This window comes from Homo sapiens, chromosome 15, assembly GCF_000001405.40.
Source record: "Homo sapiens chromosome 15, GRCh38.p14 Primary Assembly".
Taxonomy (NCBI): domain Eukaryota; kingdom Metazoa; phylum Chordata; class Mammalia; order Primates; family Hominidae; genus Homo; species Homo sapiens.
Window position 1 is genome coordinate 55532285 of NC_000015.10, and position 15584 is coordinate 55547868.

Genomic DNA, 15584 nt, shown 5'->3' on the forward strand with positions numbered 1-15584 from the left:
TTCATTTTGAGTTAAATTTTTATATGATACCAAGTATAGGTCCAGGCTCATTTTTTCACATATGGTTGTCCAATTGTCTCGTATCATGTGTTTAAAAAGTGTACCCTTTCTCCATTGAATTATCTTGGCAATGTTTTCAGAAATCAATAGACTATATATATATAGACAGTCTCTCTCTCTATATATAGACATATATATATAATATGTGGGTCAAAGCAATTACAAACAAGAAGAAATATCTTTTATATTTACCTTCATTTTTACTACTTCCAACACTATTCATTTTTTGGTGTGGATACAAGTTTCTCTGCAATATAATCCTTCTGCCTGAAGAACATCCTTTTTTTCAGACTTCTCAAAAGAAGAATTATTTATTTCTTTTCGTGTGTGTGTGTGTGTTTTATTTCCATAGGTTTTTGGGGAACAGGTGGTATTTGGTTACATGAGTAAGTTCTTCAGTGGTGATTTGCGAGATTTTGGTGCGCCCATCACCCGAGCAGCATACACTGAACCCAATTTGTAGTCTTTTATCCTTGACCCCCTTACCACCCTTTCCCCGAGTCCCCAAAGTCCATGTGTCATTATTATGGCTTCACATCCTCATAGCTTAGCTCCCACTTATGAGAACATACGACGTGAAGAACATCCTTTAATCTTTCTGGTAGCACAGGTCTGCTTGCAACAAATTCTCAGCTTTTGTTTGCCTTGGCTGAGCTGGGTTTGGGTTTTGTTGTTGGTAGAGCTGTCTTTAGTGCAACACAAACTTCAGATTCCTCTACAGGTGTGCTACTAAGGTCTTGTGCTTAGGGGAGAGGCACAGGACCTGTGTCTCAGTAGTGGGACTTCCTCATTATTCTTTTCCTTCCTCTCATGGCCACCAGCTCTGCCTTATCTTTGTGATTGGTCTAGGGACACAGTTTCCTACCCCCTTCCAGGACTTCCTCTCATAATCTGCTTGATATCAATGAAGCCTCCTTTGCCCAAGAAATTCCCTGTCCTTCCTACAGTGGCAAAGAGTTTTTTCCTTTACCCTTCCTCCCTTACCATTCCAGCAGCAATGGATCTTTGCCTTTGTTCTGGTATTGGGATAGTTTCCTATCTGTTACCAAGAAGCAAACAAGCTTTTCTTCTGGCCCTCCCCTAAAAACAATAATTCTTTGCCTGTGTCCAGGGACAAAAGAGTTTGATGATCCTCCCCAATGTTTTAAGACTTTTGATTTGTAGGAGAGAAGGGGTTAGAAAATTGCACTTTATGCCTGTCGCCAAGAATCTACTAATCACATGAACATTTGAACCACTGCTGTGGGTGGTGGGTGAGGGGGATTTCTTCAGTCTTCTCTCCTGCCCCCAGTCATTTTCTTGAGCATCCAGTGAAGGCCTACAAGGGAGTGCAAACTCACTTGGTGTCTGAGGCCCCCACCTATGACAAACTGACACACTAACCCATATATGGCCTTTAAAACAATTTAGTTGATTTCTTCTTTCCCATTGATATGATGGCCACCTTTCTCTTCCACTTTGCTAAATGTGAAATCGTTAATGTGCTTTCTCTCCTTGGAGAATCTTGTTTCTCTTTGCTATTCAGATTACTTGATTGCCTTTAAAATTAGCTCTATGATGGTTTTAGAAAAAGTCATGGTTTTGTGGATTATCCAGCTTTTTCTCATGGTTAGAGTGGAAATGAGGTTCTTTGCAGTTTTCTATATCCTAAACCTACCCCTGTGGTTTTGATGTGTAGTATTTAAGTTGTCTTTAAGGTATAAATGTTACATAACTTTCCTTCTGATGAATTAAGTACTAAAGAGTTTACCTTTTTTTTTTTTTTTTTTTTTTTTGATGGAATCTCGCTCTGTCACCAGGCTGGAGTACAGTGGCATGATCTTGGCTCACTGCAACGTCTGCCTCCTAGATTCAAGTGATTCTCCTGCCTCAGCCTCCCGAGTAGCTGGGACTACAGGTGCCTGCCACCACACCTGGCTAACTTTTATATTTTTAGTAGAGACGGGGTTTCACCATGTTTGCCAGGATGGTCTCAATCCGAGGCAGGCGGAACATGAGGTCAAGAGTTTACTTTCATTTTCTAAACATACATAGTTTTTTTTCATTATCTTTTGGTCAGACAACATAGTCTGCATACTACCTAGTCAATAGTATTCTGTTATAGCAGCCTAAGTGGACAAAAATATATATTAAAAATAATTTTAAAAAATTTGATGCTTGGACTATCATTTTCTGAAAGAAATTTGTTTTAAAATCTTAAGCAATTGCTGCTTATTTCTCCCTATAATTCTCTGTGATTGTATCTTCTGCTTTATATATGTTGAGGCTCTTTTGCAATCATACATGTCCATGATTATTTTATCATTTTGGTGGGGTTTTAAAAATATTTATAAAATGTTTTCTTGGGTGAAAATGGGGGCAAGGTGGCCAACTAGATGCAACCAGATGGAACAGCTGCCACTGAGGGACTGAGATGACTGTTATACTCCTAACAGATCTTCAGAGGGAAGGCACCAGAATGAACAAAGGGAAGACACAGAAGCTAGGCTGAAGCAGGAGGAAGCTGGGAGCCCTGCATGGGGCTACTATGCACCAGGACTCATTCCTGGCCCTCAGAAACTCTGAGGGAACAGGTAAGTTGAACTGGTAAGGAGCAACCCACTCTCACTGCGTGCCTCTGGAATCCTGGCAGGAGACCCCCTGACCACCAAGGACCCTTGAGTTGGCAGGGATAGCTGCTCAGAGAACTGGTAGGGGCAGCACGTCTGCTGAAGAGGAGCCCAGAGGGTTTGGTGTGGGAGCATCTGTAGCGAAGCATGGCCAGGATAACCCATCTCTCTAGGCTCAACATGCTCCCATAGGAGACTTTAGCCCTAGAGGAAGTGTTGGACCTGAACTCTGTTACGTGGTCTTGCCCATCAGACAGGCCGGTCTGACATGAGCATCCGTTGGTCTGCTGGCCCCTCCTGGGGCCCAGGCCTGATTGAGCCTGCCTGTCAAACAGCCTTGGGTGTCCTGGGGGCTCACATCATAGTTTCTGTGCTGGTGGACCATGCCTGACCATCAAGAGAACTACAGCAGGACAGCCCCCACAGCCACACACCAGGCCACCCACTCCCTCCCTACACGCTGTTTTGCCTGGCCCACAGCAACCCCCCACATTGCTTTGCTGGCATGCCCTTGCACCAACACTGCCATGGGAATGAAACTAGGCACAGAGACCAGCGGAACCTCCCCCGACTTGAGTGACCACCCCTGCCTGTGGTGCACAGAGAACACATACAGATTGCGCCTGCCTGCACCCCATTCTAACACTACCACCAGCCAACCGCACACATAGTCACCAGCAGGGGCCCCTGGAAGCTGTACTCCTTCGCCACTGTGGTGAATGCCTGCACAAAGGCAGGCACCCCAGCACCTGCTACATCCTGCTGCAGCGGATGGGTGTGCCCCCACCATGCTGCCACTATGCCACTACTGCTGCTGCTGCTGGCTCATGTGAACAAGGTGCCCAGCCTGCTATATTTCTTTGATTAGTATTTTTCTGGTATACTTTTTTCTATCTTTTTTTTTTTTTTTTTTGAGATGGAGTCTTGCTCTGTTGCCCAGGCTGGAGTGCAGTAGCAAGATCTCGGCTCACTGCAACCTCCGCATCCCAGGTTCAAGCGATTCTCCTGCCTCAGCCTCCCGAGTAGTTAGGATTACAGGTGCATGCCACCACCCCCGGCTAATTTTTGTATTTTTAGTAGAGACGGGGTTTCACTATGTTGGTCAGGCTGCTCTCAAACCCTTGACCTCAGGTGATCCGTCCACCTTGGCCTCCCAAAGTGCTGGGATTACAGGCGTGAGCCACCGCACCCGGCCTGCTATATTTCTTTGATTAGTATTTTTCTTTTTCCTATTATTTTCCTATTATTTTCCTATTACAGGTGTGAGCCACTGCACCTAGCCCCTTCATTTCTTAATTGCACTTACCCTTTTACTGTCTGTATCATTAGAATAAAAACCTCATGAATAGTGATTTTTGTCTGTTTGATTTACTGCTATAGTTCTAGCATCCAGAAGAGCGCCTGAACATATTAAGACAGTAAAATATTGAATGGATTAATGTCTACTTATTTGGGTTTCATCATTTCTATTTTATTGTTTAGCTTACTTTTCAAAGTCCTAAGCAAACTTATTTAAAGTTTCAGTTTATTCCATTATTTTCATCTTGAGTGGACTGAAATTTCAAAAGGTATTGATTTGCTGGTTTTCCTGTCTTCAGATCTCATGTGTTCAGAAATTTTGATTCGCAGTGTCTTTTTTGTTCCCTTCATTTATCTTTCTTTCCTCTGGGTTCATCCTTTTCTTTCTAGCAATTTTGGGTTGCCTCCAACTTGTGTCTTAGGGACCCCAATTCAGCGAGGTGTTACATGCTAATTCACTGCTTCAATTCTTTCTTCATATTGTAAACCAGTTACCAACTCTGTACATTTTAAAAACTGCGTATTTCTACCCCCTTAGCCCTGCATCTTCCTATAAATTAGAGCCCCAGGTATCAGTTGAAGGTAGGTTTCAGTTTTTAGCTTCCTTTCACAAGTGGTACAGCAGCGGAGAGAAATCCCAGCTCAGCACCGGCTTAAAGCAGTGCTATGCTTGCCTCCATTTTCATTCCTGATATTTCTGCCTACCATTAAAAAAAAAAAAAAAATCAGTTTTGGCCGGGCACAGTGGCTCATGCCTGTAATCTCAGCACTTTGGGAGGCTGAGGCAGGCGGATCACTTGAGGTCAGGAGTTCAAGACCAGCCTAGCCAACATGGTGAAACCCCGTCTTTACTAAAAATACAAAAATTAGCTAGGTATGGTGGCATGCGCCTGTAATCCCGGCTACTCAGGAGGCTGAGGCACGAGAATTGCTTGACCCTGGGAGGTGGAGATTGCAGCGAGCCAAGATCGTGCCACTGCACTCTAGCCTGGGTGATAGAACAAGTTTCCATCTCAAAAAAAAAAAAAAAAAAAAAAAAAAAAAAAATCAGTCTTGTCAGAGGCTCAGTTTTTTTTTTTTTTTTAGACAAGGTCTTGTTCTCTTGCTCAGACTGAAGTGCAGCGGCATATCAAGGCCCACTATAGCCTCAACTCCTGGGCTCAAGCAATACTCCCACCTCAGCCTCCTGAGCAGCTGAGACCACAGGTGTGCACCACCACACTTAGCTAATTAAAAAAATTTTTTGTAGACAGAGTCTCCTTATGTTGCCCAGGTTGATCTTGAACTCCTGGGCTTAAGTGATCCTCCCACCTTGGCCTCCCAAAGTGTGGAATTACAGGCATGAGCCACCGCTCTGGGCCTCATCTTTATTGTTTAAATAACCTATTTATGGTCTTCTTATTCCTTCTAGTGTTTTCCTATTTTATTTCTTATTATTTCCTTCCTTCTACTTTCAAGTTTTTTGTTGTTGTTGTTTTCTTAGTCTCTTGAGATCAACTTAGCTCATCATACTTTGGACTTAAAAATAATCTAAAGCTATATATTTCCCTTTTAGCACTGTTATTGCATCTCATGTTTTAAGATGTTTAGACCTCATTACCTTGTCAGATTAGAATTTCCTACTGCAAGTTTCTGCTTGAGAACTCAGAGTCAGGCAGGCTACTGCTTCACCATGGCTCATGCTTTCTTTCTGTACAATATTACTTGTCCTTGGATTTAGCATGGTTTTGAGTTCAATTTTATCTTTTCATATTTATCACTGCTATATGTTTAAAACAGAGGGAGTAACTTAGAGCATCAATGTTATTTGATAAGAATTCTCTCTATATATATCTTCTCTCTCCTTCAGCGAGATACACATATTTTTATTTTTTCCTATTAAATTTGAAATGTCACGCATTCAAATTTTATCTTGAGATTTCATCTTATCACTTCTTACCTATAATGTCAAGCTTTCATCAGTTGACACATTATTTTATTCAGCCTCTTTTTATGTAACAGACTCAAGGCAACTGATGATTGTTTCAAGGAAACTAGAGGTCTTATCATTCAAGAAAGTTTGTTCTTTTTTTCTTTTCTTTTTTTTTTTTTTTTTTGAGACAGAGTCTCGTGAGTCTCGCTCCGTCGCCCAGGCTGGAGTGCAGCGGCACAATCTCAGCTCACTGTCACTGCAACCTCTGCTTCCTGGATTCAAGTGATTCCCGTGCCGCAGCCTCCCGAGTAGCTGGAATTACAGGCGTGAGTCACTGCACCCAGCCACAAGTTTGTTCTTAATATTTGCTACAGTGGTGTCTCTGCCCCAGGGGTCATTAAGCTGCTGAAGTTGTAAAACTCTTCTCCAAATAATTTTTACTAACAGAACTGAAGTCACAAACTGTTAAAATCAAAGTAAATATGTCATGCTCACAATTTCTTAAGGAAATCCAGGACTCAGTTTTCTGAATAGACTTCACAGAAAAAATATGTATACAGCAAGGCCTGACTAAAAATACTGGTTCTCTCCTTAGTATAAAATTACACTGATAAATTGTAGGCTATTCCCTGCTTGATGTTATACTGGACATCTCCCACCCAAAGCCAAGATTCTCACACCTACTTGTCCTGATGAAAGTCAAACGCTTTAAAAAGTTATTTTTCTCTTTAAAAACTAGCTTTATTTAAAAGAATCTGAACCATAATAACACTATAGGAAACAAACTTACAATACATATTATTCAAGAAAGCCTGCCATACATCATTTCTACTAATGGTAGGTCTATATACTGATAAACAACATTCCTTATACAACGCACAAATAACATTAAGCATTATCCCTGAAAAGAATGGCCAACAATAACATGGACTGTCTTGACAGCAGAACGTCTACTTGTCTTCTTACTTATCTATAGAATAAAAAAACTAAAATGTAGATGACAAATTAAACTCTTCCAATTTTAAATTCTAGCATGGTTTTTGGGGAAGAAGGGAATGGGATCAGAAGACGCAAATTGTGTTAAATATCTCAAAAAGAAAAAGGAGAATTGGCTTACCATTATTTAAGTAGTTACTATGAAGTAATTCAGAATTGAGAATGTATTTAACACTTGGAAGCCCTTAAAGAGTCAAACTTTCCATTATCTACTATATTCAATCAGTTATCAAGCCAATTTCATTTGTCTGAGAATTGTAACCTGGTCATTAACCAAAAAAAAAAATAAACAATTTGGGGTAATCTAGTCATTTCATACTTTATTTAAATTTTTCCACAAAGCAGTTCATGAATTAATAATACTTCTTTAGACGTCTATGATCTAAATAGAAACAGACTCAGTTCTAAAAGAATGTATGTGAAAATAGCAGACAAAAATAAATCCCTAACATGTAATACTAAATTTTTAACATAAAATATAGAACTATGAAAATTTTGGGCATTCAAGTCAAATATAATAGGATTATGATACAGTATGGTATCTAGCGTTTTAAAAAATATTAAGTCTGAATCAGATTTATTGCTATATCAATCCTATCAATAGTCCACAATCAAAAGTACAAAATATACCATAACCATGCCGAATATGATGCAGTATAGAGATATCATTAACATAACATAGGTAGACATTTTGTAATATACATCACTGACATAGTAAAACCTTATTAAGGATAATTTAAACTGATATGTCTAAAATTTGAATTTTTAAAAAGATATGCAGTTTAAGCACTCACAAGCCTTCATTTTTTTCTTTCAAGTGTATGATTTCAAATGTACAAATTTGCATTGGCCAAGTATTACTTATTACAATTCTTTTGGGTACTTGTCTTAATGACAAAATAAGAATGCTTTTAAATTACTATTCTTAAGTAAACACCTCTAAATAAAAAGCTTAAAAATTTGCCTTCAAGATGAAACATTTTTCTTTAAAATCGTGATTATAACCTTTATTACCAAATCCTTTCATTAGGTAGTACCAAGTAAACAGCATTCAAGTCCTTGAATCAATGGCTAAAAATTCCAGGTAAATTAGAGGAGTCTTACGGTATCTTAATCATGTCTAAATAAATGAAGATAAATATTACAGTACTACTTATTTTGGTTATGATGAAGTGAATGATGTCTTTTTTGGTTGGGAAATATCAGCACAAGTTAAAAGTTACTATATAATTTTAGTAGTATGTGCTAAAAAATCCTAATATGCACTGCCATTTAAGGTAATTATTTAGTAAAGTATACCTGTAAGTGGAAAATAAAAATTTTAAGATTTATTGTATTACAAGTGTCATGAGTTGGTAACACTAAAATTTACTCCTCTCCCATTTGAAAGACATCAGGCCATCTATTAATCCATAAATATTGATGTTTCACATACTTCATAGAGTAGCTTAAAACATACCAGCATAAGAAATAATTAGTATTACATAGTAATTTCCTTTGCCATAGGAATAAATGTTGGACAAAGTCTGGAAACATTTTTTTTTCCAATTTGAATTACAGTAATTTTGCCACAGACCACAGCACTAGTGCATGTGTTACTTTAGACATGTTCTAAGAACAAAACAAAAAGTTACTGCAAAAATACATGTCACCAATGTGGAACACACTCAGATTTGTATAAAAGTACTGAACTAATATCCCAAAAAGAGGTATATGTAAACAGTACATAAGGAAGAAATAGTTTTAATATGAAACAATCATTTAAGTCACATACATCATGATAAGAAGCAGGACTTTCTTTTATAAAAGATAATATTTTGACAAACAAGCAACATCATCTACACATCTACAGAACAAGAAAGGTACAGGTATTTAGAATAAGTTTTAATATAATTGCAAGTAATGTATTATTGACAAAATATGACAAAGATGCTTATCCACTGAGTTTCATCAAAAGTTTTAAATTAAATACAGGCAGCTCTGATGTATTAACGCCTGGCATATACATGGCCACAGTCTTTCCTTCATTTCCCCTATACCACTTGTCTTGGGAGATGTTAATGCTATCCCTAGCCTCTTTGCTCCAGGGGTGCTTCCAAATTCCCATCACTGTACCATAAGTTGGAAGATGCAGATGTGACTTTTATAATGCTCTACTGGATGGAACAATAAGCTACTAAAAATTAGAAATGAGAAGAAAATCTCTAAGTTCAGAATTAGAGGAGAGGAAGCTGTGAAAAGTCACAACAGCCTAAAGGAAACTGGAAGTACCCTCAGACAGTACCAGCTAATTCACTAAATGTACTGCTTCCCATGGTATCTGAAATGCGGTCATATTGTCTGAAATGTTAGATATTAAAGATTCATTCTTAATAAACATACTTTTTTAAAAAAGAAATTTAATGACACTTTTCCCACTATCTTCATTCATACCTTAGTAGAAAATGCTTTTCTCTTAAAGTCTAGCCAACTACTACTGCCACACAAAGACACAGGATTTCTGATGGGAGGAAAGATATAAAATGTTGAAGCACAGAGCACCCAGGAGAGGAAAAGCCAAGGCTGCTTATACATTTCACCAGAGTTTAGCATGGTAAGGGGGCAAATGCAAAGAAACCCACACCAAAGAACTTAACCTCCTAATCACATCAGGAAAAAGACAAGACCTCTGCTTCTTTCTCCCTCCTACACTGATTGATTGGTTTCCTAAAGAAAACTGAGAGTTCAGCATGATACTATTAACTAGATTATGGTCTAAATGAGCCTTTAGGAGCTTCCCTATTGTGTAGAGTTCCAAGCCACTATTTACAAATGAACTTAGGGAGCCTGATGCCTTTAAATTTTTTTTTAATTGAAAAAGATATAAAACAGCACAAATGTCCATGCATAAGAAACCTCTATACACGGCAGAAAGAAATCCAAAACTCTTGAGAACTCCCTTTTAAAAAATCATTGCTTATATATTTTCTTACTATTAAATACAATTACTATAGTACATTGAACAATAAGTGCTAAAACTCTAATTTGTTCGAGACAAACAAGTTTGAAAGAATATTGAATGAAGACTCTTGATACTTATTTGGATTAAAGTTGGCAGATTTTATGATGACCCACACTATTAAGAGGTTTTTCTGCCACTAGGCAGAGTTGGGAGTCTAAAACAAACCACCAAAAAAGTAGATTTCTTTACACTGTGTTTATGAAGAATAAGCACTAGTACAAGAAAATCTTTAGTTTTATGTATATAACCTTCTAATTTGAATAACAATTATAGCAGTACTCTAAAGTATTTCACACAAAAGGAAAACACTGATCACAAATCTAATTCTAAGCACTCTGTCTGAAGAACAATTTATCTTTCACAAGCTGAGCTGTTTCAGTATTAGTGAATCGAGTAACACCTAGAAGCATGTGGACCACAAATTCTCTAGTGCATGAGCAAGTCAAGTTCTGAGAAAGGAACTGATGCTTTTTAAAATTTTCTGTCTGGCCAGGCGTGGTGGCTTACACCTGTAATCCCAGCACTTTGGGAGGCTGAGGCGGGCAGATCACTTGAGGTCAGGAGTTTGACACCAGCCTGGCCAACATGGTGAACCCGTCTCTACTAAAAATACAAAAATTAGCCAGGTGTGATGGTGGGCGACTGTAATCCCAGCTACTCAGGAGGCTGAGGCAGGAGAATCACTTGAACCAGGAAGGCAGACGTTGCAGTGAGCCGAGATCTCATCACTGCACTCCAGCCTGGGCAACAGAGCAAGACTGGCAAAAAACAAAAACAAAACAAAACAAAACAAAAAAAACAAAAAAAAACCCACCTTTCTGTCAATAACCTAGCTTTGGTGAGTAAACCTAGATGCTCATAGTTAGCCAGGTTGAATTTAAGCAAAACTCAAGGATGTTGGAGAAACTGTGGGGGGTGTGTGTGTGTGTGTGTGTGTGTAAGATGAGGACTTTCAGTGAAGGAAAGGGATTATACCAAAAAAGGTACAATTCCACCTGTGTTTTTTTCCATCACTGCATATTTTTAAAGTTGAAGGCAGCTTATCATTTATCCTAAGAAGCCATTTCAGTTTGTATAATAGCCTTCTTCAGACAAATTATCATCTGGCTATTCTTACAGTTCATCACTTATTCCATCCAAAAGCATCTATATAACTTTTGACTTAGCATTATGTAGAGACAAATGTAGAACTAGCAGGAAAATTAATTCAAACACATGAACGCTATTCATCAGCTATGATTACAGTTTGGCTATGATTCACTATCAGAATGAACCGTGAGTTTTTCTTTTGAATATTTACAGATTCTTATTTAAGTAAGGTGCTTTGAAGACCTAAACACCTGAATAAAAATTCACCTGTTTGTAGGTTTTTAAAAACAACTATGTGGAAATAGAAAATGAATTATATTGCATAACACATACCTTTAGACTAGCTTGGGAGAAGTTATTTCATTTTCACAAAAACAGCTAACTACTGAAACTTAAAGAGATAAAGGGTTTAAGAAACTGCATAATTGATTTTAGTAATGATCACAACTCAAGTACTACCATGTAAAGTGTTAACTCCTGAGAACACTGGAAAGTTCTACTCAAAATATCTATCATCTAGCTCTATTCAGGGTAATAATAAATCATGATCTGATGCTACAACTAGGCATACAGCATACAGTGCATCATTTATTAAAAATCAGCACTCATTAAACTTTCAGGAGCAACATAACTAGGTCCTTAAACATTTAGAGAAATATGTATAATAAAAAATCCAAGTAAAATGAGATCTTCAAGTACACTACTGAACACCATCAAATGCCTGTCAGCCCAAAATACTGCATTTTAACCTGCTTCAACTGGTAAAGTTTTCACACAAAGGAGTACCTAGAAGTATAGTTTATATCATTTTGTTTCCTAAAATTGTAAAGATAAATATTTTACAACTACTGAAAATATTTTGTACTCACCTCTAACTAGTCAAGGGTAAATGGAGAAAACCTTGTATTACCTTGTACCATATGAAATTGCTGTTTTTGTAGGTCAAAATTAAAACAATGTATTTAAAAAAATAAGTTTTATTCAATCAAAATATGCATCAGGAGCATGAATAGTTTTCTTCCAACAGAATATTAAAGGTCTAACTTTTATAAAATTCATCATTTGTTAGGCTGTATAAATTGTTAACATCTTCCAGTTACTTCATCTCGATTGGGGAATGCATTGTTTCTTAGAAAAAGCTCCAAATGATAGACAGTAGTCCATGGAATAAAGGTCCAGTGACTAAAATGGACATGACAAAATTTCATAGCCCAAGTCACTTAACTTTGCTTTAGTAGCTTGTGACATGTGAGGTCGAGTCCTTGTCTGTGAAAGTGTAGGTTCTTGTGTGTTACCCAAAGGACATTGTTTTTAAATCACATTTTCATGCATAATTTAAATTTCTTGATAATATGCTGCTGCCGTCATTGTTTCACTTGGGTTTAAATAACAGTAATTATTTATCTCTTTCGTAGATCACCACACAATCTTCAGAATTTTTTTGGTTGCAATGATAATGGTGGCAACATATTAGGGAGCTTTACCAGCCTCCAATGATTGTATAAATTGCCATTAGCTGTCAAACAGCACACATTTTTTTTTTTTGGCCACAGGTTATAATCTGCTCCAAAAATGGATTTCTGCTGTTTTGAATCTTAATGAGCACAACTCCAACTGTCTCCATTCTTGATCATCCCTCAAGAGGGTACTCTCAGGTCCATTTTTATACTTTTCCCCAGTCAGAGCGGGAATTCCTTAAGTCTGCTGCAAGGCTTCAAATTGTTGTTTGCAAGTTAGATTTCACTTTGGCTCTTAATTGATCTTTGTTTAAAATGGATTTTGATCTCCCCTAGGGTTCATTTTTGAAATTCAGATCCCCAGAACAAGATTTTTCAAACCACCACTGAGTAGTTCTTTTACTAGCAGAGCCCTCTAAGGCCAAATGGATGTTTCTACCTTCCTCATCTGCAATATGTCCCAGTTCAAAATTATAAAAAAGTATTCACAATTCTTCTGTGGATACTATAGTATTTCTCTGGAAAACAATAAACAATAACAAGACAACTCAATATCAAAGAAAAGTAGGAGCATAATACTATCATAATTCTAAATAGCACAACTGGGAACGTACGTTATACCAACTTTACTAATTGCAGTCAATTTTCAACTGATCTAATATTAGCAATTTCATGTGGTACCATCCACAAGTTAATCAACAATACTTACTGAGAATTTACTATATGCTAAGATCTGTCTCGTATCTGTACAAACAGATATCCTGAAAACTCACTTGAAATATGAAATTCATTGATTCCAAAGACCCTAGTGGAGGAGGAATCTGGTGTCATACTATTATTTTTTTAATCCATAAAAATGTATGCTTTCCCCCATGTTACAGTTACATATATTATGTTGTGAAGACGTGTTAAGTGGATCCTTGATAAACTTTTTGAACTAAATCTTTAATATGGTACAACCAAAGTTCAGCACTGAAATACACGTTTTTCAATGATTCTAACTTTTAAAAGTTAAAACTTGCCTACATTTGTTATATATTATTTTGAAGTTTCAAGAGGCTTTTATGTTTGTGATAAATAACAACAACTAACATTTATTTATGTTTCTAAAGCACCCCCATATACATTATTCTCATTTAAGACAGCAAGCAAAGACAATAAAAAATTTGCTCTAGTGATGAAGTGATTAATAAAAACTAAGTAAATAATGTTTTTGTGTATGCATTTAAAAAAATAATGTAAAACATTAAAATCCTGTGTCAATGAACTTCTGCAATGCACAGGAAAATAAACCCACTTTAGTTAATGCCTTTGATTAAGCATCACTGCCCACTGCAGATGGACCAAAAGTTTCTCTAGTACGCATTAACTGGACATCTTTGTCAGCCATACAGGTATCACAGCCCCATACTGCAGATGCTTCTGCAGTTAAGAGGCCATAAGCTGTTTCAGTCATTCCAGTACAGATCCGATGAAACCATTTCTGACAAGAGGCCTCACATAAGATGGCATCCTGATCATCGTTCACCTCGTTTGTACAAATTCCACAAGGATACACTGGGTCAGAAGACGAATGGCCATGACGGTTTGGGTGAAGAGAGGATTTATTGCTTTTTTCTGTGGTGCAGGCATCTGCTGCACCTCTTGGTTGTCGTGGCTTATTCTGCGTCCCATTTGCAGGGTTATTGTTTGTGGCTTCAGTGCTACTTGAACGGCTGTTCTCCTGATTTACTGCATTGTTTCGATTAACATTTTTTAATTCAATATTACTCTGATTCACTGTGTCATCCATATTCAAGTGAGGTGGATGAGCAGAGGAATTTTGATTAGTGTTTTTGGTTGCTCCTTGAGTAAAGTCTTGTTTTGGGGGTGGTGCTTTTGCTTGACCAAAAGTGTTTGGGGGAGGAATAAAAGAATGATTAGATTCTAACGGAGAAGTAAAATTTGAATTATTTCCAGGAACAAAATTAGATGCCAAATCGGGGTTAGAAACTTGGCTAGCATTCTGTGGAGGAATTTGACTGAAATTTTCAGCAGGATTTTGTCTAAAATGTTGATTAGGCATGTTGACATTCTGACTTAGTGCATTATTATAAGATGGATTACCGAAACTTGAATTATCATGTGGCCCAAAGTTAAAAGCATGAGGTCGATTAAAACCCATGCCCAGAGGATTCTGAGGAAATGGGTGTGGCTGGTTCCTGAGTGAGTAAGGACCACAGTATGGGGAAGACATTCTTGGGGGAACGTGAGGTGGCATTCTGAATGTACTATAGCCTCCAAAGCCAGGATAACCAGGGCCAAGATATGGATTTGACGAAGGTAGTGGTTTATAGGAAATAGTATTATAGTTGTCATCAAATGGATTAGCAGCCACTAGATGGTCAGAGTTTGGATTCGGTGGTGGAGCATACTCAGACAATGGAGGGAAAGAAGGTCCCTGAAATGAGAATGTAAAGTAAAATACATGTTTTCGATCAAATACATTATTAAAATTGTCCTGTTACCTTAATACCTGTGAACCTAGTATTAGTCAAATTTCTCTTGCAGTGTTAACAAACATTTATTATCTTCACTTGACCTTTCAATTTTGACTAATGTTTATATTTAATTATACTTGCTGATAAAAATATTTAGTTTTATTTCATTTCCAAAAGAAAATAAAGTATGATTTTCTGAGCTCAAATCCATTGTAACTTCAAAAACCAAAAGTAGTTAACTTTCAAAAGAAGCTTCATTATCCTAATTTTCATTTAATATGCTTACCTATAACTCTAGAAACTTTCACTTAAATACTAAAGCAGTCTAACCTAAAATACCTCTCATACACCAAACAGTCATAAAGTTAAATAACAACAATCAGAATCTAAGTTTTTCCCCTAGCTTAACTTCAGGGAGATACAATTAAAATATTTCCAAAACATTAAGTTCTGGGCCTCAGACTGAAAAAATAAACTGCCAGTTTTAGTCACACTGCAAGTTTAACAGATGGTGGTCAAAATGATAAAAAGATCAGTAATCTGTACACACATACTTACTAGTAGCCTTTATCATAGAAAGAGTGCTTCAAATTTATAAAGAATAAAACAGTGAGAGCCTGTATATATAATTGCTTGTTACAACCACAAGTTATAACAAAAAAAGGCCTCCATCATGATTGC

General features: G+C 37.3%; 1 protein-coding gene across 4 annotated transcripts in view; it reads right to left on the reverse strand.

Annotated features, from left to right (window-relative positions):
• Positions 1–6599: 6599 nt before the first annotated feature.
• The window catches only part of PYGO1 (pygopus family PHD finger 1), a 50088-nt gene continuing 41103 nt past the window's right edge, over positions 6600–15584 (reverse strand). For 3 of the 4 annotated variants that reach the window (NM_015617.3, NM_001367806.1, XM_047432381.1), the window contains exon 3: positions 6600–14863. In NM_015617.3, coding sequence (NP_056432.1) covers positions 13739–14863 — 1125 coding nt within the window. In that variant the 3' untranslated portion in view covers positions 6600–13738. The remainder of the gene's footprint in view (positions 14864–15584) is intronic. The other variant, NM_001330326.2, reaches the window with a different exon arrangement.